The sequence below is a fragment of the Homo sapiens genome, chromosome 7, assembly GCF_000001405.40.
Source record: "Homo sapiens chromosome 7, GRCh38.p14 Primary Assembly".
NCBI lineage: Eukaryota > Metazoa > Chordata > Mammalia > Primates > Hominidae > Homo > Homo sapiens.
The window spans coordinates 72,269,645-72,294,826 of NC_000007.14; the positions used below are offsets into that span (position 1 = coordinate 72,269,645).

The window sequence follows — 25,182 nt, forward strand, 5'->3', positions numbered from 1 at the left end:
GTAAAAACGAACCTACACAAATTTAAGGTGGTCAGCCAGTAATTGAATTACCTACTAGAACAAAAATCAGCACTCTTCAGAGAAAGATAACACATAATCACTCTAACATAGGATTCACAATGTTCAGTCTATAGTCAAATATTCACAGGCATGCAAAGAAAAAAGAAAATCTGACCACAGTCTTTTTAAAAAGTCCATAAAAACCAATCCCAGGATGGCCTAGAGCCTTGATGTTGGATTTAGCACATACAACTTTAAAGAGCTATTATAAACATAGAAAAGTATATTCAGAGAATTAAAGAAAACTATTGTCTTAATGATTAATCAGAGAATTAAAGAAAACTATTGTCTTAATGATTAAACAGATAGGGTATCTCACCAAAGAAATGGGAACTATAAAAAAGAACCAAATGAAAATTCTAGATCTGAAAAAAATTTGGGTGTTTCCGTGTGTGTGTGTGTGTATGTATGTGTGTGTGTGTGTTGAGAGAGAGAAAAAAACCCTAAATGCTGAAAAATGTTAAAAAGTAAGCCAGGCACAATGGATCATGCCTATAATCCCAACTACTTAGGAGGCTGAGGCAGGGGGATCACTTGAGCCCAGGAGATCAAGACTACAGTGAATTCTGATGGCACCACTGCACTCACCAGGGTGACAATGCAAGACCCTGCCTCAAAAAACTAAATAAATAAATTCTAAATAAATGAAGGATATACAGATATTCACTTTTACTTTCCAAAAACCTCTGTGGATTTGAATTTTTTAAGACTAAAGAAATATTTTTTAAAATGTATTTTTATTTGTATATACACAAAAAAAGAAGATAAAAGTTTTAATAAGCCAAGGCTGGGTGTGGTGGCTCATGCCTGTAATCCCAGTACTTTGGGAGACTGAGGTGGGAGGATTACATGAGCCCTGGAGTTCAAGACAAGCCTGGGCAACATAGTGACACCCCATCTCTAAAAAAAATTTTTTTTTAATTTAGCAGGTGTGGTGACACACACCTGTAGTCCCAGCTCCTTGGGAGGCTGAGGCAGGAGCATCGCTTGAGATCAGGAGGTCAATGCTACAGTGAGCCATGTTTGTGCCACTGCACTCCAGCCTGGGCAACAGAGCAAGACACTGTCTTAAAAATAAACAAAAAAAGAAGTTATAAGCCAAGGAATAACCTAACTAAGTGTGCATTTGAGTAGCATCCCTCCAATGGTATCGAACTGAACTGACATGTGGGTGGATCATAGATGAAACCCAATAAGATCAGCTCCAGTGAATGCTGTTGTCTAGGAAGTGGAAACTTGACCCAAGGCAATACCAATGTGGTCAGAGAGGAAGGAAGACTTACAGAATACGAAGAGAGGTCAAGATATATGGGACTAAAGATTGTATGTAAGGACCAAGAGATAACAAGGATGATTCCCAGATGACTGCTGTGGCTGACTGGCAATATAATTTCCTGGGAAAAATCCCAGAGGAGAGGCAGTTTTCAAGAATAAAGAAAATCCATTTTGGCTTTAGATATTTGGAGTTTAAGGGACTTGTGAGACACCTGCACAGGACTACAGGTACTAGGTCTAAAATCCAAGAGGGAGGCAGGACTGGAGATACGTATCTTGAGGTCATCAGCACGTAGATGCTCGGGCAGAAGGCAACAAAAACCAACCCCAGGAGACAAAGAGTGTGCCTCATACTTCTTTAATCTTTTTTAAAAATTTCACATCTATAGAGGTTTAGGAATGCATGGTGAATATCTATCTTCCATTCTTTCTTATAATATTTCTTTTTGTTTTCTTTTTTCTGAGGGAGTGCCATGGCACAATCATAGCTCACTGCAGCCTTGACTTCCCGGGCTCAAGCAATCCTCCCTCCTCGGCCTCATGAGTAGTTAGGATTATAAGCATGAACCACTGTGCCTGCCTTTTAAAAAAAAAAAATATATATATATATATATAGTTTTCAGCAGGCAGGAGATGAGGGGTACACAATGAATGCAGAGATGACAAATATGTAGAAAAGAGGAAGGAGGAGATCTAGGTAACGACATGGGTACCAAGGCAGTGATGGACTGCAAAAACTAAGGTGTGAACAACAGTGCCAGATGCTGCAGAAAGTCCTGAATAAACATTAAAAGTCATCTAGGCCAGTCATGGTGGTTCATGCCTATAATCCCAGCACTTTGGAGGCTGAGGCAGGCAGATCACCTGAGGTCAGGAATTCAAGACTAGCCTGGCCAACATGGTGAAACCCCATTTCTACTAAAAATACAAAATGTAGGCGGGCGTGATGGTGGGCACCTGTAATCCCAGCTACTCAGGAGGCTGAGGCAGAAGAATCGCTTGAACCCAGGAGGCAGAGGTTGCAGTGAGCTGAGATCGTGCCACCGCACTCCACCCTGGGTGACACAGCAAGATTCTGTCAAAAAAAAAAAAAAAAAGTCATCTAGAGGAGGCAAATAGGGGCTCCTAGAGAAAACTGAGCTGCAGGAGAGCAGTGACTCTGGAATAGTCAAAGTGACACTGGTCAACTACTAAAATGGAACCCCAGGTTCAAAGGATGGCAGTCTGGTATTCTATTCCCATACTCAAAATACCCCCTATGATATACAGAAGAGTATATCAGTATAAATATTAATTTTGAGGCCAGGTGTGTTCGCTCATGCCTATAATTTCAGCACTTTGGGAGGTCGAGGCAGGTGGACCACCTGAGGTCAGAAGTTCGAGACCAACCTGGCCAACATGGCAAAAACCCATCTCTACCAAAAATACAAAAATTAGCTGGGTGTGGTGGTGCACGCCTGTAGTCCCAGCTACTTGGGAGGCTAAAGCCGGAGAATCACTTGAACCCAGGAGGTGGAGGCTGCAGTGAGCCGAAATCGCACCACTGCACTCCAGCCTAGGCGACAGAGCCAGACTCTGTCTCCACGAAAAAAAAGAAAGAAAGAAAAAGAAATATTAATTTTGAGACATGCACACATGTGAGAGGCTGGGAATTTTTGCTAATTGCCCCGCCAATGAAATTGGAGAGACACAATTTCCACCCACACTTGGAACTACAGTGGCACATAAGGAAGACTGACTCACCACAATACATTGACAGTAAATCATGCAGTCACTCCCTACTTCACAGCCACTGTTTTCCATGGGAATCTATTCCTCAACCCAAACCCACTTCAGCAGCACCCTTTTTTAAGCTCATTTGGGGAACACAACTTAACCGCAGCCATGGGTTGGTATGTCCCATCCTGGGTTATCTATACAGCACAGGTGAAAGCCAAAATGTTCCTAGGATGACCAAACGTACAAGAGTAGCTTGGGAATGGGAAGGAGAGAAGGAGAGAGGAAGAACAAACAACATAGATGGAGAATTCTGTGGCATAGGGCGCAAAGACAGCAGGAACAACCACCGAGACCCCCACCTCTGCCCAGAGCCATGGGCTACATGAATGTCTTCTGGAAACTGGAGACGGCATGCATATCAATCTCTCACCAGTCTAAGGATAAAAAGGCTTAGGCCAGGCACGGTGGCTCACACTTGTAATCCCAACACTTTGGGAGGCCAAGGTGGGCAGATCACAAGGTCAGGAGTTCGAGACCAGCCTCGACTACCCTGTCTCTACTAAAATTACAAAAATTCGCCAGGCGTGGTGGTGCATGCCCATAATCCCAGCTACTCAGGAGGCTGAGGCAGGAGAATCACTTGAACCCAGGAGGCAGACGTTGCAGTGAGCCAAGATTGCACCACTGCACTCCAGCCTGGGCAACAGAGCAAGACTCCATCTCAAAAAAAAAAAAAAAGCGGCGGGCGGGGGCGGTGGGGAATATTATCTCAGGTTTGGGATAAAGTGAAGAAGGCAAGATTCTTTTTTTTTTTTTTTTTTTCTTCCCCCTAGAGACAGGGTCTTTCTTTCTCACCAAGGCTCAAGTGCAAGTGCAGTAGTACAATCATAGCTTACAGTAGCCTCAAACTCCTGGGCTCAGGCGATCCTCCCACCTCAGCCTCACAAGTGGTGGGGACTACAGGCATGCACCAACACATCCAGCTAATTTTTTGTAGAGACAGGGTCTCCCTATGTTGCCCAGGCTGGTCTCCAACTCCTAGGCTCAAGTGATCTTCCTGCCTCAGCCTCCCAAAGTGCTGGGATTACATAGGCATGAGCCACTGTGCCTGGCCAAAGTTAGACTCCTTACAAACCTTGTTTACTGACAAATACTGAGCCTACAAAAAAACTTCATAATGTTGAGTTACAAAGCATAATAGAAAAAAGCAATATAAATTATACAAAAAAAAAGTTTCATGCAAAAGAAAGTTACCATCATCTGGAAGACGTAGAGAAAAAGACTTTTATTATGAATATATATACAAATAATTTATGACCAGAAACAGAAGAGATTTTCACAAACTGGAAAATAGCTAATAGCTATTTCCTAATAGCTCCAAACTGAAAACAACCCAAATATCCACTGAGAATAAAATAGGAAAATAAATTAAGATATATTTATATACAGTGGAACATTATATATTAAAGAAAAGAGGTAAACTTCAGATGGAGGTGAATTTAGTTTAAGATTAAGATAGCATTACAAGGCCAAGCACAGGGTCTCACGACTGTAATTCCAGCACTTTGGGAGGCCAAGGTGGGTAGATCACTTAAGGTCAGGAGTTCAATACCAGCCTGGCCAACATGGTGAAACCCTGTCTCTACTGAAAACACAAAAATTAGTCAGGCGTGGTGGCACATGCCTGTAATCCTAGCTACTTGGGAGGCTGAGGCAGGAGAATAGCTTGAACCTGGGAGGTGGAGGTTGCAGTGAGCAAAGATCGCGCCACTGCACTCCAGCCTCGGTGAGAGTGAGACTGTCTCAAAAAAAAAAAAAAAAAGATAGTATCACGAGATTATTCAATAAATAGCATTAAGAAAACTATTCTTCAACAATCATACTGCATATATCTAATAGAATTCCATATAATGCACTCTAAAAGTATAAGATATTGCTAATAAATCTGGTATATGCATAAACTTCCTGGATAGACGTAAGCTCCTTGGAAAGAGGCAATGAATATTATGCTTATTTGATTTTCCTCTACTACCTAGAAGGCATTTCCTCCTCCACCTAGTAAATATCCGTTTAATGAATGAATAAAAATGGATGAATGAATGAATGACTGTCTCCATCAATCCACCTTCACTGAGTTTGGCTGGGTGATTCCCAACTTTAATCTGATCATTTTGAAGCAGCTTTGCATGTTTCCCTCCTGAGCTTTGTGTAAAGAGAAGAAATAGGGACTTCCCAGAAGGGAATTGCAGCTGAAAATGACCTGCGTGGCAAGTGGTCCTTTTCATGCCTGTTTTCAGAGGATAACCATTCACGAAGTGCACACCTTTGGCCCTTACACTGGAGGAAAGGGATTTTCCATCATTGGTGATAAACACGAACAGGTGGGGAAACCTGTAGCCATTCACAAGCAGAAGGCTGCAGTGGCTGCAGGGTGGGGAGCTTGACAGCAGATAAGGATAGCACCCAACTAATGCCTATGCTCAAGGCAGCCAGACCACAAAGGATGCTGCGATGTCCATCAGTGTCCAACACATCAACTCCCAGTGCAGCACCACCTGTCCTCTGAGGGTAAATGAGTGCCCCCAACCAGCAGAACTTTAGGGTCACCTTGCCATGCAGCAGCCCAAGAGAACAGCAAGCAAACTATGCCCTGGAAACTGGCTTCCCCAACACCAATCCATAGTCATCTGAATTGATTCAAGCCAGTTGGTTTCCAGACCCTGCGTGCCTGCTCTAAAATCAGAACACATCCGCACTGTCCTGCCCAGAGCCCCGAGATGCTTGTAATAAACCAGGAACAGTCATAACTCAGTGTTCGCCTTGGCAAAAACTAAATAAATAAGTAGAACGAATCTTCTGTCAGAAAATAAATGGCCCTTCCCCAGGCTGAGAGCCTGGATTACCCTCCTGAAGGACAAACACAGCATCTTCACCAGCCAATCTCGGGACTTTATAAAGCCCCCACTTCACTCAATAAACTACCCCAAGGCTGCCAATGCTCAGGCTGCCAGCCTGGGCTTGGAGGGCTCTTAGAATTACTCTCGCTAATCTACATACTGAAAAAGTGCATTTCAGTGCTTCTCAAGCTGCCTTTGCCTGATTAAAATAGCAAGTTTATATGCTTTTCTGTTTGTCCAGGAAAGTGGAGGGCATTTCACCAGGGCACCCAAGTAGGGAGAGGAGGGTTGAAATCCAGCCAGCAGCCCTCTTGAAAAGCCATGCACCCCCACAGTAGCCCTGAACAGTTGCCTTAGCAGAGCTTGAATTTAACAGTGAAAAAAGCCATTGCACTGAAAAGTCACAGAGAAATCATCTCTTGATCATTCATGGCAAAGTTGGGAAGGAGGAAGGGGGGAGAATATGGAAAGCCACAGATGATTCCAAACTCCATTTGGTTAGTGATTTTTAACCTCTTAAATAATTGCCCAAAACATATAGATAGTGTTGCCCAGTTCTCAGCCAGGGCCACTCAGTGGGTCCTGCACGCATGGGGGACTCCCAGTCCCTCCTGCTGATGACTGAGCCTGGAGGATCTACTCAAATAAACACAAGCAAACATCCACCCCACATTAATGTACCACCTGCCCTAATGTCTATTCACAGTGAAGACTCCCATAGGTAGGAAAAGCCTGGGCCTCACTTCACCTCCCAAACACACCTGCTATGAGCTGAATGTTTGGGTCCCCCCAAAATGCCTATGTGGAAACCTAACCACCAACGTGATGTCATTAAGAAGTGAGGTCTTTCAGGAGGTGATTAGGAGGGAGCAGCCCTCATGAATGGGATTAGTGCCTGCTATGGTTTGAATGTCCCTTCCAAACCTCACATTGACATTTGATTAGCATTATGACAGTGCTAAGAGGTGGGATGGTTAAGACGTGATTTGACTATGAAAGATCTGCCCTCATGAATGGATTAATGTCATTATCTCGGGGGGAGTTCATTATCCAGAGCGTGGACTATTATAAAAGTGAGTTTAGCCCTCTCTTGCTCTTACCCTCTCTCGCCTTTCCACCTTCTGTCATGGGATGAAACAGCATGAAGGCCCTCACCAGATACCAGTGCTATGCACTTGGACTTCCCAGTCTTCAGAACCATCAGCCAAATATAGTTCTTTTCTATATCAATTACCCAGAAGGTACTATGTTGTTATAGCAACACAAAGCAGACTAAGACAGTGCCCTTACATACTCAAGGCACAAAAGAACTTATTCACTCTCTCCACCATATGAGGACACAGCAAGAAAAGTGACATCTATGAATCAGAAAGTGGCCCTCCCCAGACATCAAATCTGCTGGCACCTTGATCTTAGACTTCCAAGCCTCCTGAACTGTGCGAAATAAATTTCTGTTCTTTATGAGCCACCTAGTCTATGGTGTTTTGTTATAGCAGCCTGAACAGACCAAGACGCCACCCAAGTGACATCTATGAATCAGAAAGTGGCCCTCCCCAGACATCAAATCTGCTGGCATCTTTATCTTAGACTTCCAAGCCTCCCAAACTGTGAGAAATAAATTTCTGTTTTTTATGAGCCACCTAGTCTATGGTGTTTTGTTACAGCAGCCTGAACAGACCAAGACACCACCCAAGGGCAGCCTTAGCCTGAATTTGTGGTCGCCTGTATGGGCTCACTTTGGAGGAGGTCAGAGCTCAATTTCCTGCTTCTGTGTCCTGCACCAGCACACCTTTTGCTCAACTGAAGACCAGAAGATGTAAGGGTTCCTGCTCTCCTCTCAGGCCACCAGTCTTTGTCCAGACCACAGTGAGCAGCCGCTATCCCTAGGAATCTTGATTCTGCCCCAATCACTCCACTTCTTCAAACATCCCCCAGACTCTCTTTGGACCCAGCCCACCGGGGCCACATCCTCTGCTGCCTCCCTGCTCATTCATGTAAATAAGCAAGCATTTAAATAAGCACACAAGCAAAATGGATGAGAGAAGGAGAAGCTATTCAATGGCCTCTCCTCTTCACCTCCCTCACTTCCTGCCTGTTGTGAAGCAAGTTTGGCTTCACTGTCTCAGAGCCAAATGTCCTCCATCTTCCTTCTGGGAGAAATGAGGCTCCCTAATGTGCACATACAAAGCACACTGATTTGAACCATTACACTTAAAAGCAAATATGTGGGCCAACTGGGGTAATTTTGACTTCTCTACTTGAGAAAGTAAATTTAAACTTTGTGCCTTAAAATGATATTATTACAAACAACAAAGTATTCAAAAACACGAGGGAAAACTGATTCTGGTTTGACCTCAGCCGATGTAGTACCTAGGTAAAAACATCAGGCCAAATCAACCTAATCCTCTATTCCGGGGGGGGGGGACTTGTTTTTCCTATTTTTAATTAGAGGATTGGTTTATCCAAGATACAATGAGACACAGTCCTAGGATGAATTTAGTCATCACGTTCCCAGGTTTATGTCCATCCCTAACCCCTGCCTTGAGCACCCAGGGCTGTACTGTGTTACAAAGAAACAGAGGCAATTAAAATAATTGCTATCCACTGTCACCTAGACAAAGCTTCCAGATGATTCTGATCTGAACAGGATTCAAAGCACCATGGCCAGAAGTCAAGAGACAGCCATTAACAGGGCTTAAACCTCCCCTGCAGATGGACTCCATTGTCAGTGACAACACAGAAACAAGACAATTCCATTGGTGATAAAGACTCCGGAAAATGGAAAACACATTTTAAGAGAGGTGAAGGCTATCCCCCCAGTCACTATCCAAGGAAACCGAAATATCCACCATAGATTGCTCAGGCTATCAGGTCTGTACACACACACACACACACACACACACACACACACACACACACGTCACTTGGGCAAAACTTTGTCTCTGAACTCTTTCCCATTATGCCATGGCTACACTTGGCCACAACTGCCAAGGAGTGGCCAAAGTCCAGGGCTTTCAATTGAGCTTCACAATAGCCAGAAACACCTCCCTGGGAGGGGGGCCATCCCCCCAAACAGGGTAGGCTCCTTACCATCGAGCTCCTCCACGGAGATATTAGCCAGCTGTTCGCTGTCACTGCCAGCAGAGAGCGATCGGTTGAGGTAATTCCCCTTGTACAACAAGCCGGCGGTCACATGGTGGAACGGCATCTTTTCCCTGCCCAAGAGAGAACAGGGGAGGGGAAAAGAAAGACATCATCATTCATTCTTCCTTTCCTTTCTTAAAGGACCATCTGATTTTCAGATGGCCAGTGTCATTTTAAAAATAGCAGTAATATTTCTAGTGGGAAAGTCAAGATATTTCCAGGGTCCCAATGACCTGAGCAATTTCCAAAGGAATTCAGGTTTTTCCCATTCCTTCACTGTACATCTTACTTCATTTTCCCCATTTAATTATGAATTTGAACGATGTTGTCCTTGTTAATCATGGCACACCACATCACCATCGAACTATCTCTTTGCAAACGGCAATATCCTTGACTCCTTTCCTTGGCCCGATAAATTCTCACTTGATGCTTGTAAGGAAGGACTGAGAATCCCAGAAGTGTAGGGATGCCCAGGGACTAGATGTCTTGTCTGTGATCAAGCAGAGATCCAAATGTCTCATTTCTCCCAGATAATATAGGCATTGCACTCACACAGCACTCAAAACAGGTAGGAAATGCCCAAGCTCTAAGTAAGTACATGCAATGCTCTGCATCTCAAGCAGCAGCTGCCAAACCTGGTTGAGATGCAGATGCTGCTTACATGAGTGGTGTGTGAGCACACACATTCTGAAATGCTAATCACACCTGCCCTGCTGGAAACAGGAGTGACGCCTTCAGGTGTCCCACAACGAAGCTACTTCCAGCACTCTCACACAAAGTTAAAGCATCCTTCTACGCCAATAGAAAAAAGCTCCTGAACCCAGATGGTCATCAATGGGGCTTAGAAGTTTCCACTAATGCAAGGCTGACTGGAGGCTCCAGGCTACGGAAAAAAGAGATGTGAGATAAAAGGACAGCAAAGACAATGGAAGAGAATGGAAGAATGAGCAACGACAAGAAAGAGGAAAGGCAGATGGGAAGATTATCTTCTCCAAAGCAGAAAGAGCATAGCTCCTGGCCCAACTTGTCTAATGATGCTCTCCGTGACTTTGAACAAGACGCCGAATGCTTCACATTCTGGTTCCCCATCTAGCAAAGGGGACTAAGAGGATGGATAAACCTCTGAGCAGAATTAGGGCCAACAGGCAGGAAGCACAGGAGTCAATCACAAGGAGTGGGTAGAGAACATCTTTGTATCGGAGCTTCTGGAAAGTGAACTGGGCAGCACTCAACCTGTGAAACCCCTGAAAATTAAAAGGTTTAACCAGGAGCACAAAGCCAGTTAGTGACAGAAGTTGTTCTAGAACTCCAGCATCCTACATGCTATTTCCATTAAGCAGACCCAGCTAAGTGCCAGACATTTCCACCCGGATGTCAAACCCTCATTTCAAACTCAAAATGTCTAAAAATGAATTAATTATCTTCCTACAAAGTAGGCTACACTTTCTGGTTTCTCTATTTCTATCAAAGGTGCTTTTCGCTCATCACAACAACTGGGACAACTCTCCCAAATGCTCGGGGCCCCAAAAAGTAAAACAGACACATGGCTGAGGCAAGAGCCAACTGTCAGCTTGCAACCCATCCCCTCGCCCTTAACTCTTTCCATAGCTAACAGCATGTACATCCACAGAACAATTGCAAATGGCAGGATGCTGATTACAAAGGGTATATGCATTTGCCAATTATAAGAGGTACATCTTCAGCTAGTTACAAGTGAGATGTTTCCAAATCTATCCTTATATTTAAACAGAATACAAGAATCTTTCTCTAGAAGAACACTTCAATGACCACCTCCTTTTTTCTCCAAGTTAATTTTCAGACCAAAAAGCTTTAAAAGGAAGAATCGCATGTGTGAATTAGGACTACTCTATCTTTTCCTTAAGGCCAATCCTGATTTCTTGGGACTGTGTGTCATGGTCATTTGAGTACGGACTGATACCCACTGCCATAATGTGAATGTCTCCCCAAAATTTTGTGTGTCAGAAACTTAATCCCCAATGCAACAGTGTTGAGAGGTGGGACCTTTAAGAGGTGATTAGGTCATGAGGACAGAATTAATGCTGTTATTGCAGGCATAGGTTACCTATCACAAGAGTGAGTTCCTTATAAAAGGATGAGTTCAGTTGGGTGCGGTGGCTCACACCTGTAATCCCAGCACTTTGGGAGACCTAGGCAGGTGGATCACCTGAGGTCAGGAGTTCGAGACCAGCCTGGCCAACATGGTGAAACCCCATTTCTACTAAAAATACAAAAAATTAGCTGGACATGGTAGTGCACACCTGTAATCTCAGCTACTCGGGATACTGAGGCAGAAGAATTGCTTGAACCCAGGAGGCAGAGGTTGCAGTGAGCTGAAACCATGCCATTGCTCTCCAGCCTGGGCAACAAGAGCGTCTAAAAAAAAAAAAAGATGAATTCAGCCCCTTTCCCTTCTCTGCCTCTTTCATTCTCTCTCTAACACTCATGCTCTCTTCCTCTTCTGCTACAGGACGACACAGCAAGAAGGCCCCTGAAAGATGTAGGACCCTTGCCCTTGGACTTCCCAGCCTGCAGAGATATAAGAAACAAATCTTGGCTCTTTGTAAACAACCCAGTCTCAGGTATTCTGTTACAGCAGCACAAAACAGACTGAGACATCCATGGTCCAGAAAATGAGATGTCAACCCTGGCTAACACTTCTTATGTGATTTCAACTTCACCCTCAGTACCAGTCCCACACACAGTGAGCCTCACCAGCTGTTATCTTAACATGTTTAAGTCTTCATAAACATGGGAAGACACCTGCTCTGATATTATCTAATTTGTTAGCTAAGCCTCACTAGATGAGCCTCACCAGCTGCTACCTTAACCAACGTTTAAGTCTTCACAAGCATGGAAAGACACCTGCTCTGTTCTTATCTAATTCACTTCCTGGAACAAGACCCACTAAGGTCGGTACAAAAAGCATTCCTTCCATTCCACCATGCATCACTCTAGTTTCTCAGCATTTTATAAATATCTTCCTATTGTCACCTTTTACCTGGTTGTCTGCAGCTTTGGATTCACTACACAAATTTTTACAGTCATAATAAGGATGTTATACTCAAGCAAGCATCTCCAACCCACGCCCCAGTTCAGCCACAGAATAAATGTTGAGTACTTTGCAGAGAAAACTGGTCACAACTGAATCCCACTTGATATACCAACATAATTTGCTTCTGAAAAAAAAAGGCAGCTTACAAAATTAGGTACACATTCAGTTCATTTAGTCTCTGCATTCAAAAAGCTCAAAGTCTAGTGGGGAAGAAACCATGAGCAATGGAACGATCCATATAGATATATAAAGTCATGTTCAAGAAAGGGAAGAACATTATCCTAAGTAAGCTAAAAACAGCTGCTGCAATTAAGGACTAAATTTCACTCCAAGCTGCCTAGGGAAACCCAAGCTTTAAGATTCTCTCCTTGGCTAAGGGAAGAGAAATACACAAGTTCAAGCAAAGATAAACCTTGTCCTGAAACTAAAACTTGAAGATGGATCCTTCTATAGAGAGCAACAAACAAAAATAAATAAATATTTTCAACAGCAGTTTCACTCACTGTGAAATATTTAAGCGACTGTCATGAAAACAATCTTTCTGTGTTTTATGTAAACCAGTGATATGGTCTGAATGAATGTGTCCCCCAGTAATTCATACACTGGAATCTAAGACTCTAATGTGGTAGTATTAAGAGATGGAGCCTTTAGAAGCTGATTAGGTCCATGAGGGCTCCTCCCTCACTGATGGGATTAATACCCTTATAAAAGGGTTGGAAGGAACTAGCAAGGCTCTTTTGTCTTTCTGCCTTCCACCATGTGAAAATGCAGCAACAAGGCAGCATCCTGGAAGCAGAGAGCAGCTCTCACCAGACACAAAATCTATAGGTGTCTCGATCTTGGACTTCCCAACCCATAGAACTGTAGGCAATGAATGTCTGTTGTTTATAAATTAGCTAGTCTAAGGTATTTGTTACAGCAGTAGAAACTAAAGCAGAGTGGTTTCATGGTTAAGAATTGGCTGGGTGTGGTGGCTCATGCCTGTAAACCCAGAACTTTGAGAGGTTAAGGCAGGCAGATCACCCAAGGTCAGGAGTTGGACACCAGCCTGGACAACATGGTGAAACCCCGTCTCTACTAAAAATACAAATATTAGCCAGGCATGGTGGTGGGTGCCTGTAATCCCAGCTCTACTTGGGAGGCTGAGGCACAAGGATCACTTGAACCCGGGAGTGGACGTTGCAATGAGCCGAGATCGTGCCACTGCACTCCAGCCTGGGTGATCGAGGGAGACTCCATCTCAAAAAAAAAAAAAAAAAGAATCAGCACTTTCTAGTCAAAAACAGTGTTAGATTTGAATCCTACCTCTGCCCTTATTAGCCAGGTAAATAAGTAGTTTGACCTCTGTAAGCCTGTCTCCTCTTCTGTAAAATGGGTTTTAATATATACTGAAGAGAATAGTACTGTTGTAAATATTAAATAAGATAAACGGCCAGGCATGGTGGCTCACATCTATAATCCCAGCACTTTGGGAGGCCAAGGAGGGAGGATCACTTGATGTCAGGATTTCCAGACCAGCCTGGGCAACAGAGCAAGACCCTGTCTCTTCACACAGACCAAAAAATAAAAAAATTTAGCTGGGCATGGTGGCACACACATGTAGTCATAGCTACTCCGGAGGCTGAAGTGAGAGGATCATGTGAGCACAGTAATTTGAGACTTCAGAGAGCTATGATCCCACCACTGTACTCCAGCCTGAGTGACAGAGCAAGACTCTTGACTCTAAAAAGATAAGATATGGAAAGCACTGTACTTAGCACCAGGCATCTGCTCAGTGAGTAACACCAGTAATTATTTGCTAAGGATCATATGAAGCAGGATGCAGGGGCAACAAGAAGTCATGGATGAATTAGATTGATGCCTGGATTACATGCTGGATTACAAAGGAGGGTCAGTGAGACCTGACAAAGGGCAAGCTTCAGGGAGAGGCTGGCATGTAAACCACTGTGCTGAGGGATCAGGTGTGAGCAGCAAAGCACCAGCGGGTTCCAGTGCTGAATGGTGTCAGTATGCAGAAGGGGCTACTTGAATGGAAAGTGCCAGAGCCAAAGAAGAGTCCACTTCCTGGGTGCCAGGGAGGCTGGCTGAATTGTCATATCAAAGAAAAGATCTTGTGAGGTTAAAACCAAAAGGGATGGTTCCTGTTAATGGGGTCAAGGAACTGGTACATTTCTTGACAGAGTAATATACTGAAGAGGCCATGTATGGTGCCTAACACCTGTAATCTCAGCATTTTGGGAGGCTGATGCTGGAAGATTACTTGAGGCTAGGAGTTCAAGACCAGTCTGGGCAACATGGTGAGACTGTGTCTCTACAGAAAAATTTTAAAAATTTTAGTCAGGCATGGTGGTGCATGACTGTAGTCCCTGCTACTCAGGAGGCTGAGGTAGGAAGATCACTTGAGCCCAGGAGTTTGAGGCTGCAGTGAACTGTGATCTTGCCACTGCCCTCCAGCCTGGGCAACAGAGGGAGACCTTGTCTCTAAAAAGTTAATTAAATAAATAAACTAAAGAGCCTCATTCACATTAACTTGAAATGATGCCCTTTTGTGATGGTCAGTTTTATGTGTCAACTTGACTGGGCCATGGGTTGCCCAGATATTTGGTTGAACATTATTCTCTGTGATGTGTCTGTGAGGGTGTTGCTGGATTAGGTTAACTTTTGAATTGGTAGTCTGAGTAAAGCAGATTCTCCTCCCCAGTGTGGGTGGGTCTCATCCAACAGTGAATAGAATGATAGGCCTACATGGAATGAACACACTAAGAAAGAATTTGCTCTTCAAACTGTCTTCAAGCTGGTACATCAGTCTTAATTCTGCCACTGAACTCAGACTTGGACTGGAGCTTTTCACTATCTGATTCTCAGGTCTTCAAACCAGACTGGAACTATACCATTATTTCTCTTGGGTCTTCAGCTTGCTGACAGCAGACTGTGGAATTTTCAGAGTCTGTAACTGCATGAGCTAATTCCTTATGATAAATCTCTTTAAAGTTATACAGATAGATTAAGGATAGATAGATAGATAGATAGAGATATATGATAGATGATGGATGGATAGGTAGGTAGGTAGATAGATAGATAGATTCTGTTTCTTTGGAGAACCCACATTAATGCACCTTCCTTTTTTTTCCTCTACAGTACCAAGGACCCAGGCACATTGCAGTAGGGTATTATTATTATTCTGAGCAAAGCCCTGTGTGTTCTGCAGGGCTTCTAAAGCAGTGCTACTCAAAGTGTGGTCTATAGACCACTGCAAATTGCATAGCATTTGTTGCTGGTCTGCAGTGAGATAAGTAAAAGAACTGAGAGAAAGCATTGAAATAGCAATTTAGAGCATTGCCCCAACTTCTAAGCACTTGACCAGTGGACTTGATTTTTGTATATTTTTGCTTCTTTTATTTTTCCTGGTAATTCTTTCTTACTGGTTTTTGTTTTGTTTTGTTTGTTTTTGAGATGGAGTCTTGCTCTGTTGCCCAGGCTGGAGTGCAGTGGCACGATCTCAGCCACTGCAAGCTCCGCCTCCCGGGTTCATGCCATTCTCCTGCCTCAGCCTCCCAAGTAGCTGGGATTACAGGCGCCTGCCACCACGTCTGCCTAATTTTTTGTATTTTTAGTAGAGATGGGGTTTCACCGTGTTGGCCAGGATAGTCTCGATCTCCTGACCTTGTGATCTGCCCGCCTCGGCCTCCCAAAGTGCTGGGATTACAGGCGTGAACCACAGCGCCCAGCTCTTACTGTACTTTTTTAAAGTATCAGTCTACAAATGACCGAAACTAAAAAAAATTAAAACTGGTCCTTCCTCACAAATAGTTTGAGAAGCACAGCTCTAAAGTATTTAATTTATGTTGTATAGATTTCTGGTAATGAACCACAGAGAAAGCAAGAAAAACATTTGGAGAAATGCATCTTAACTTGTCCCTGAAACTTTTTCAAAGAGCTTAAGATTTCTTAAAAGTCTTAGATGGACTTCTGAAAGAAGCTGAAAGACTTCAATTGATTCCTGAGCTCTCTATAGAGTGCTAGAGAAGTACAAGGCATCTCTTGCAGACTTGACAGCAATCCGTGTCCTCCAATTACCAGACATACAAGGGGCAATATTGATCTTGCATGCTAAAGGTTAAAGAGCCTAACCAGTCCTGACACAGCCTTTGCCAAATTCCTGTAAAAACAACCACGAAAGCACACCAAAATAATGATATTCTCAACACCACCAATGCCAGAGTATGGAAGAAGCTTTCATAAAATCAGTGCAGTTAGGATTAGAATGATGAATAATCAGTGGTGCAGCCTTGAAGTCAGAGACGGAATAACAGAGTCAGATAGTACAGGGATAAGAAGAGATTGTTATCTACCCAAATTCTCTTCTGTTTCAGGGACTTAGGGATGACCAACCATAACAGCAGGCAATCACCCTTCTGACTGGAATTGCTTTATTAAAGCAGCCAAGGTCAAATCCCACCACCATCTCTTCCACCACTGTGAAGCAACAACTTTTTTTCCTCTAGCTACTCATGGATCATAACTCCCAGTATGCAAGGTGGCTAGGAATGGAAGGTCTGAGACGTGGACCCTGCACATGAAGATGAGAAATTAGCTGCAAGGCACAGGTGTTGGTGAGAAGGATCCCAGGAGTAATGACCTATGGGGATTATGATTTTTCATGCATTGCTTCTGATTAAGAAAAAACTGCAGAAGGCCTCAAATAACCCAGAAATATATATGTCTTCCTCTCTGTTCAACAGCTACATGGTGGGCACAAGAAGATCTCATCTTACTCCAGCAAAGATGCTCTCAACAAAGGCCAGCTAGACCCTGGACATTTGGCTAAGCACTTATGAAACAGTTTTGTTCCCCTGTTAAAATCCTGCAGGGGCATGCCAGTTGGCAAACACTTGGTTTGGACAGATCTCAAATCAGACAAGAATGAGTAAGCAAAAACACTAACGTAGTGGTCTGTGTAAAAGTTCTGCATCATTAGAGAAGGAAGAACTTTCAAGAAGAAGTACAGCAAAAGCCTATTGCCAATAATGATATAATACAAGAAAGGACAATTTTACAAACTTTAACAAGGTGTCTATGACACAGGAATGCAAATTCATAAAGAAATATCAGAGTGAGAAGAAGAGATATCAAGACAAAAAGAAAAGGCAATAAGCTGAGAGGTAAGCCGGTTTGGAAAAGGTGCATGCATTTGCAAACAAAGGAGAAATGCAAAAACAGTAGCAGAATGAAAATCTGCATTAAAGGCAATGAAGAGTATTTCAAAGAAACAGAAATTTTACCACATAATGCACCCATGTACCCACCACCCAGATTTAATGATATTTTGCCTTCTTTGCTTATTTTTTAAAGAAATAACATATTACACTGAAACCCTTACCACCTACTCTATTCTTTCACTTCCCTCCCTCCACAGTGACAACTCTATTATCCTTCCTGTCCATGCTTTTAAATTTGTCCAGATTTTGATGTAACTACATAGAATATATTGTATCATTGCTGTGCCGATCTTTAAATTTACATAAATGATATTACACCATCCATATGCTTTTGCAACCTGCATGGTTCACTCTATATTGGATTTCTGAGATCTATCTAAATCCATACACATACACCAAATTAATTTTTTTTTTTTTTTTTTTTTTTTTTTTGAGACAGAGTCTCGGCTCTGTCACCCAGGCTGGAGTGCAGTGGCGCAATCTTGGCTCACTGCAAGCTCCGCCTCCTGGGTTCATGCCATTCTCCTGCCTCAGCCTCCCGAGTAGCTGGGACTACTGGCGCCCGCCACGACGCACGGCTAATTTTTTGTATTTTTAGTAGAGATGGGGTTTCACCGTGTTAGCCAGGATGGTCTTGATCTCCTGACCTCGTGATCCACCTGCCTCAGCCTCCCAAAGTGCTGGGATTACAGGCGTGAGCCACTACGCCCAGCCTAGTTAATTTTTAACTGCTCAACAGTTTTCCATTGTATATAAATTACACAATCGATGGAAAAGTGTGCTGCAATGAATACCCCCATGTGTGTCTCTTCATATATATTTGCAGGAATTTCTCTGAACTGCATATCTAGATAAAATACTACCTGGTTATTGAGTATGCGAATCTTTACCTTTATTGGATTTAGTGAAATTGCACTCCAAAGTGATTGGGTTATTTATTGGTATATAATAGTTATTTATTGGTATATAATAAATTACCCCTGAACTTTGTGGCTTAAAATAAATATTTATTATCTCAGGTTCTGTGGGTCAGAATCAGGAGCTGCTTAAGCTGGGTGGTTCTGGCTCAAGGAGTCTCCTCTGATTGCGGTCAAGACACTGACTGGGGCCACCATCATCAGAAGGCCTGACCGGGGCTGGAGGATCCATTTCCAAGATGGTGCACTCACATAGCTTTGTTCACGTGAGTTGGGAGCACTCACATGGCTCCCAACATGATGCCATTAAACATGGATTTGGAAAGAGATGTTCATAAAAGGTCTCACTTTCTTGTGGGTCTCTCCATAGGGCTTCTGAAGTGTCCTTATGACATGGGAGCTGGATCACCCCAAGCAAGTGATCAAAGACATGGGGGTAGGGGCTCTTATGACTTGGTCTTGGAAATCACACATCATCACTTCTGCCACATTGTTTTCATTAGAACTGTGTCACTGAATACAGCCAACACTTAGGGGGAAAGGAATTAGACTCCACCTTTTGAAAAATGGAGTATCAGATAATTTTTAGATGTATTTTAAAAACACCTTAATGATTGTGACAATTTACAGATCCACCATTAGTCTAGGAGTGTGTCAATTTCCCCGATAGCCTTGCCAAAACTTGGTATTAGCAGACTGTTTCATTTTTAATTGGATTTCCTTCACTGCTAGCTTAAGCATCTTTTTATATGGCTTTTACTCATTCAATTTCTTCTGCTACAAGTATGCTTTTCATCTTTATGTATTGGATTGTTTATGATTTTTGCACTGCTTTGTCCTTCTATGTTATTGTCCAGTGTCCAATTTCAATCTTATTTTTAACCCCTTTTCCCCAAAAATTAGTCAGAATTATTGTTTCTTACAATCGATACTTATGTAAACTTTTCCACAAGTTTGCCAATTTTCTGCTCATCATTGGTTCTTGCAGGCTACTCCTTTGTTCCAGATTCAATTTCTTTTTCAATGAAGTGTAAATGTAAATAAGGGGCTATAAATGGCAAGCTTTCTAAGTCTTTGTCTTAAAAAGTCTTTATTTCAACTTCATTTGAATTATGAAGGTTAACCTAGTAGAGAATTATAAATTAATGATTTCCTTAGCACTTAAAAAATGTTTTGTTGCTGATGAGAAATCTATAGGTATACTTGCTGTTCACCTATTCATACTCATTCTGGACAATTCTAAGTCATTATGTTTTCAGATATAGGTGCTCTCCAAATCTCTTTATTCTCTTTTTGGTAAGCTCTTATTAGATGTACGTTGGACCTCTTTGTTCAAGCTGGATTCTCTTGACTGGTTCACCCAAAAGCTATTCACAGTTCATCTGACTGAGGAAGCTGGGAGGCCAATAACTATTTTCCAGACTTTCTTGCTACTAAGGTTCTGGATGAAAGTTAGTTCTAATATTCAAAAGCTCTTACACAAAATTTGCAATATAGACATGAGGTGAAGGCAGTGATATACTGGTAAATGTTTAGCACTTGGTCTCAAAAAGAAACACTCTTGATGTGTAGCATTTTCCATTTTCATGGTGAAAATATTCCCAACAAGGACCAATTCCAAGCTCCCAACATGGTACCACTAAACATGGATTTGGAAAGAGATGTGCAGCAGTATACCAGCATACCACCATGAAGTATCTCCACCACACACACACAATAGGCTAAATTAACCACAAAATCACAAATAATAGTAAAATGTAGCAAAATGATTAGGAAGTGATGAATTTTAAATATTTATTACCTTGATTTTTCACTTATTTCATTGTAAGTTCATATTCCATTTTTAAGAATGAATGCATAGGCTGAGTGTGGTGGCTCACACCTGTAATCCCAGCACTTTGGGATGCCAAGGTGGGAGCCCGGAGTTCAAGACCAGCTGGGCAACATAGCAAGACCTCATTTCTACAAAAAATAAAACAATTAGCCGGGCATAGTGGTATGTGCCTGTAGTCTTAGCTACTCAGGAGGCTGAGGTTGGAGAATCGCTTAAGCCCAGAAGTTCAAGGCTGCAGTGAGCTATGATTAAACCCCTGTACTCCAGCCTGGGTAACAGAGAACGAGACCCTGTCTTAAAAAAAAAAAAAAAAAAAAAAAAAAAAAAAAAAAAAAAAAAAAAAAGGATGCATTTAATAGTCACCTCACAAAATCCCTTAAAATTTAAAAGTGGGCTCTCACAAGCCAGTATGAGCTTATGAGCTAGCTCCAGCATGTCACTGGCTGTTTCCTTGCCATGTTTTGACTTTCTACAGAAAAGAAGACATGAAAACATGACATTTTCCTGCAGCAACATTCCATTGTTCACTCTCCAGTTTCCTGGCTGTGACAAAGCAGCTATGGTGGTGGCAGCAACAGCTTCTGAATCCCCAGATCACAGCTCTAGGGGACCATTCTCTAAATGCTGGGAAGTCAAGAGAATGTTGCAGGGACAATATACAGCAGTGGCAGCCTCAGTGGTAGCAACTCTCCTGGAGAGTTGACTTTGAGTTATTCTGGAATTCATTCTGGACAACCACCTAAAATCCACTCCTTCAACCCTTGAACAGTTATGCAAGCATCAAATCCCTTATACTAAATCCCCTCCTGCTTAAAATACCCAGAGTGGTTACTGGTTCTTGAACTAAGTCTTCACTGATACATCATAGTGTTGTCCATATTCTTTAAACTCTTTTTAATTGTTCACATTTTTACCTCTCTGTGTATCTTAGAAGTAATCTCCTCAAATTATTTGCAAATTTGTACTTTCTCTTTTCAGTTTTTACTGAATGGTGGTTGAACCTGTCTACTGAATTTTTCATTTACATGACTGTATTTTCCATTTCCAGAAGTTTACTTTGGTTCTTTTATAAACACACCTCTTATTTTTCACTGAGTATCAATCTTTCATTATGATTCCTATACTTTCTTTCACCTTTTAACCATTTTTTTTTTTTTTGAGACAGAGATCTCACTCTGTCATCCAGGCTGGAGTGTAGTGGTGCAATTTGGGCTCACTGCAACCTCTGCCTCCCGGGTTCAAGCAATTCTCCTGCCTCAGCATTCCAAGTAGCTGGGATTACAGTTATGCACCACCATGCCTGGCTAATTTTTGTATTTTCAGTAGAGACAGGATTTCACCATGTTGGCCAGGCTGGTTTCGAACTCCTGCCTCAAGTGATCTGCCCACCTTAGCATCCCAAAGTGCTGGGATTACAGATGTGAGCCACTGCGCCTAGCCCTTTTAACCATTTCTGACTTATTTCATATTTTTCTTCAGAATGTCATTTTATAATTTCCATTTCTGAAGGCACTAATCCTCTTTTTGTACTACTCTGACTTTCCCAGTGACAAACTGTTTCCCAGTATTGCCTGTCATTTGTTGAGGGGAGGAACCCCAGCAGCCTTTGCAACAGGTGACGCTTTTCCCACTGGAGTTCCAAGTTCACAGAGATCCCCGTCCATCACACAGGGCATCTCACCAGTTCAGAACCAGTCATTACATTAATTCCTTAACTTAGAAGCCTGCACCACACAGGCAGTGTACATTTGGACTGCACATCCCCTGGAACACTGGCTTAGAGTTTTGATTTGTCACTGTAGCCTTTCTCTTTTGTAGCCATTGATCTGGGAAGAAAATAAGCATCACTGCTACTTTGCTGGGCCAGTGTGGAGACTGAGTCTAGCTCCCACCTGTAAGTGAAAACTGTAACCTCCACCTCCCGGGTTCAAGTGATTCTCCTGCCTCAGCCTCCCAAGTAGCTGGGATGACAGGCATGTACCACAATGCCCGGCTAATTTTTGTATTTTTGGTAGAGACAGGATTCTTCATGTTGGCCAGGCTGGTCTCGAACTCCCAACCTCAAGTGATGCACCTGCCTTGGCCTCCCAAAGTACTGGGATTACAGACATGAGCCACCGAGCCTGACCATATGTTGAAATTCTTATTGCCAATGTGATGGTATTAGCAGATAGGGGCCACCGCACTTCAGCCTGGGTGACAGAACAATACTCCATCTCAAAAAAAAAAAAAAGAATTTCAACATATGACTTTTGGGGAAACACAAACATTTAGTCCATGAATAGTAAGTTGCTACTAGGTTGTACAAGAATAATTGCAGTTATTGCCATTACTCTTGCACCAACCATTACTTTCAATGGCAAAAATCGCAATTACTCTTGCACCAACCCAATATAACAGAATATGTGGCTTAAACAACAAACATTTATTTCTCATGGTTCTCAAGCCTGGAAGGCCAAAATCAGGGTGCCAGCTTGATCAAATTCTTGATGAAGACCCTCTTCCTGGTCTACAGGGGGCCCTCTTCTCATTGTGTCCCCATGAGGTGGACAGCAGAGAGCGCTCTGGTCTCTTTGTCCCCTTATAAGAGGACATTCGTGAGGATTCCACCTCATTAGTGAATGAGGCCTCCACCTCCCACTCATTAGCAGATAGGGCCTTTGAGAGGTGATTGGGTCACTATATCATGACCCAATCACCTCTCAAAGGCCATATCTGCTAATACCATCACATTGGCAATAAGAATTTCAACATATAGTCAGGTGCAGTGGCTTATGCCTGTAATCCCAGCACTTTGGGAGGCCAAGGCAGGTGGATCACTTGAGGTCAGGAATTCGAGACCAGCCTGGCCAACATGGTGAAATCCTGTCTCTACTAAAAATATAAAAATTAGCCAGGCATGGTGGCGCATGCTTGTAATCCCAGCTACTCGGGAGGCTGAGGCAGGAGAATCACTTGAACCTGGGAGGTGAAGGTTACAGTGAGCCGAGATCGCGCCACTGCACTCCAGCTTGGGCAACAGAACAATACTCTGTCTCAAAAAAAAAAAAAAGAATTTCAACATATGACTTTTGGAGAAACACATTTAGTCCATGAATTACAGGGGGCTGGGAAACCGGAGTCTCATTTCCTATTTCCTGCCTGTGCCAGTCCAAGACCACATCTTTTGTCTCTGCATGAACATTAAAACCCCATCACCAGAGCTTTCTGGGGGGCAGGGAGGTTCCTGTTGTTCAGTAGCGCCCACTCCTATGCTTATCTCCCTGGGCTCTGAGTTTCCCCTTCCTTCCTTTCTTTCTAACTGATTTTATTCGTCAGAGCTTAGCCAGGAAAACAGAGCCTGTATCAGGCAGTTCAACAAGAGGATTTAAAACAGCTATCTACTAAGTTGTTGGAAGGGTGGAAAAGCCAAACAGAGATACTTAGCAGAGATTAGAGATGGCAGCAACGTATTCCCACCCCTAGTCTGGAAGGACGTAGGGAGAGGGTGGTACTATCAGAACCTCAAAGTTGAGTTTCCCAAAAGGATCTAGCACCGTGGTAGGGGCTGCCCAATAGGAACTAAAAGGAGAGATGGAAAGGCTTTGCTCTGCCAAGATTCAAAGCAAGAACCACTAAAAAGAGACAGCCACTGCTGGAGACAATTATCAAAAGCAGATCGAGATGGGGAAAAATACCCCAGCCTCTCTCTTTTTCCCGCCTTTTCATTTCCTGCTGGTGTCTCCTTTTGGCCAAATCAGTCAGCAGCCTATTGCCAGGGAATCTGGAAATGTAGTTTGCAAACATCAAGCCCTACCATGCAGGGTAGCAGGAGAAAAAGGCAGATAAATCCGTAAGAAAGCAGGCAGATGACCAGCAAAGTGACACGTTTGGTATTTTTTTTCTATTTTATTCTGCATTTCTATGTTGATAGCAGAAAAAGCACCCATGTTAGCTTAGGACACTGACAGAGGTAGATCTCCAGGTAACATTTTTGAACTTCAAGGATAAGAAAAAATGCTCTGAGCATTCAGGTAGAAAATACAGTTTACCGGCCAGGCACGGTGGCTCACACCTGTAATCCCAGCACTTTGGGAGGCCAAGGCAGGCAGATCACTTGAGATCAGGAGTTTGAGACCAGCCTGGCCAACATGGTGAAACCCCGCCTCTCCTTAAAAATACAAAAATTAGCCAGGCATCATGGTGCACACCTGTAATCCCAGCTACTCGGGAGGCTGAGGCAGGAGGATCACTTGAACCTGGGAGGTGGAGGCTGTGGTGAGCCGAGACCACACCACTGCACTCCAGCCTGGGCGACAGAGCATATCCACAAAAAAACAAAATGAGATTCAGTTTCCTTCAGAATAATAATGGCTTCTGAAGATTCCTCCAGAAGCAACCACAAAAACAACACTATCTCCACCTCCCGCCGCCTTGAATGGGTCACTTAAATTAAAATAAGTAGAGAAGTTTATGAAGTAAATCATGAGGAAATATTGTAAGTCAAATGTAATAGAAAATAAAGTTCTCACTTCAAACAATTCAAACTAAAAAACATTGAAGTACAGTGAAGTCCAAGTGAAAGATGATGAAGGTCATTCTATGTTTGAGGGTAAAATTCAAAATGATAGCATATTAGTCATAAACTTCTATGTACCATATCATAGCACTGTAAAGTAAAAATAATTTAAATATAAAGAAAAACTGCCTGGGCACAGTGGCTCATACTCACAATCCCCACACTTTGGGAGGTTGAGACAGGAGGATAACTTGAGGCCAGGAGTTTGAGACCAGCCTGGGCAACACAGCGAAACCTCATCTCTATGAAAAATTTAGAAATAGCCTAGCGTGGTGGTGCGCACCTGTAGTCTCAGCTACTTCGGAGACTGAGGTGGGAGGATCGTTTGAGCCCAAGAAGTCAAGGCTGCAGTGAGCATAATGTTGCCACTGCACTCCAGCTGGGACGACAAAGACTGTCTCTAAAAAAGTAATAAATAAATAAATAAATAAATAAATAAATACAGATTTTTAAAAATGGTTGAAGTCTTTAAAGACACCCTATAAG

At 42.9% G+C, this 25,182-nt stretch overlaps 1 protein-coding gene across 15 annotated transcripts in view; it reads right to left on the reverse strand.

Moving 5' to 3' along the window:
• CALN1 (calneuron 1) overlaps positions 1-25,182 on the reverse strand; it is a 724,789-nt gene that overhangs the window by 490,154 nt on the left and 209,453 nt on the right. For all 15 annotated transcript variants that reach the window (XM_017012677.2, NM_001363460.1, XM_017012683.2 and 12 more), the window contains one exon: positions 9,042-9,166. In XM_017012677.2, coding sequence (XP_016868166.1) covers positions 9,042-9,166 — 125 coding nt within the window. The remainder of the gene's footprint in view (positions 1-9,041; positions 9,167-25,182) is intronic.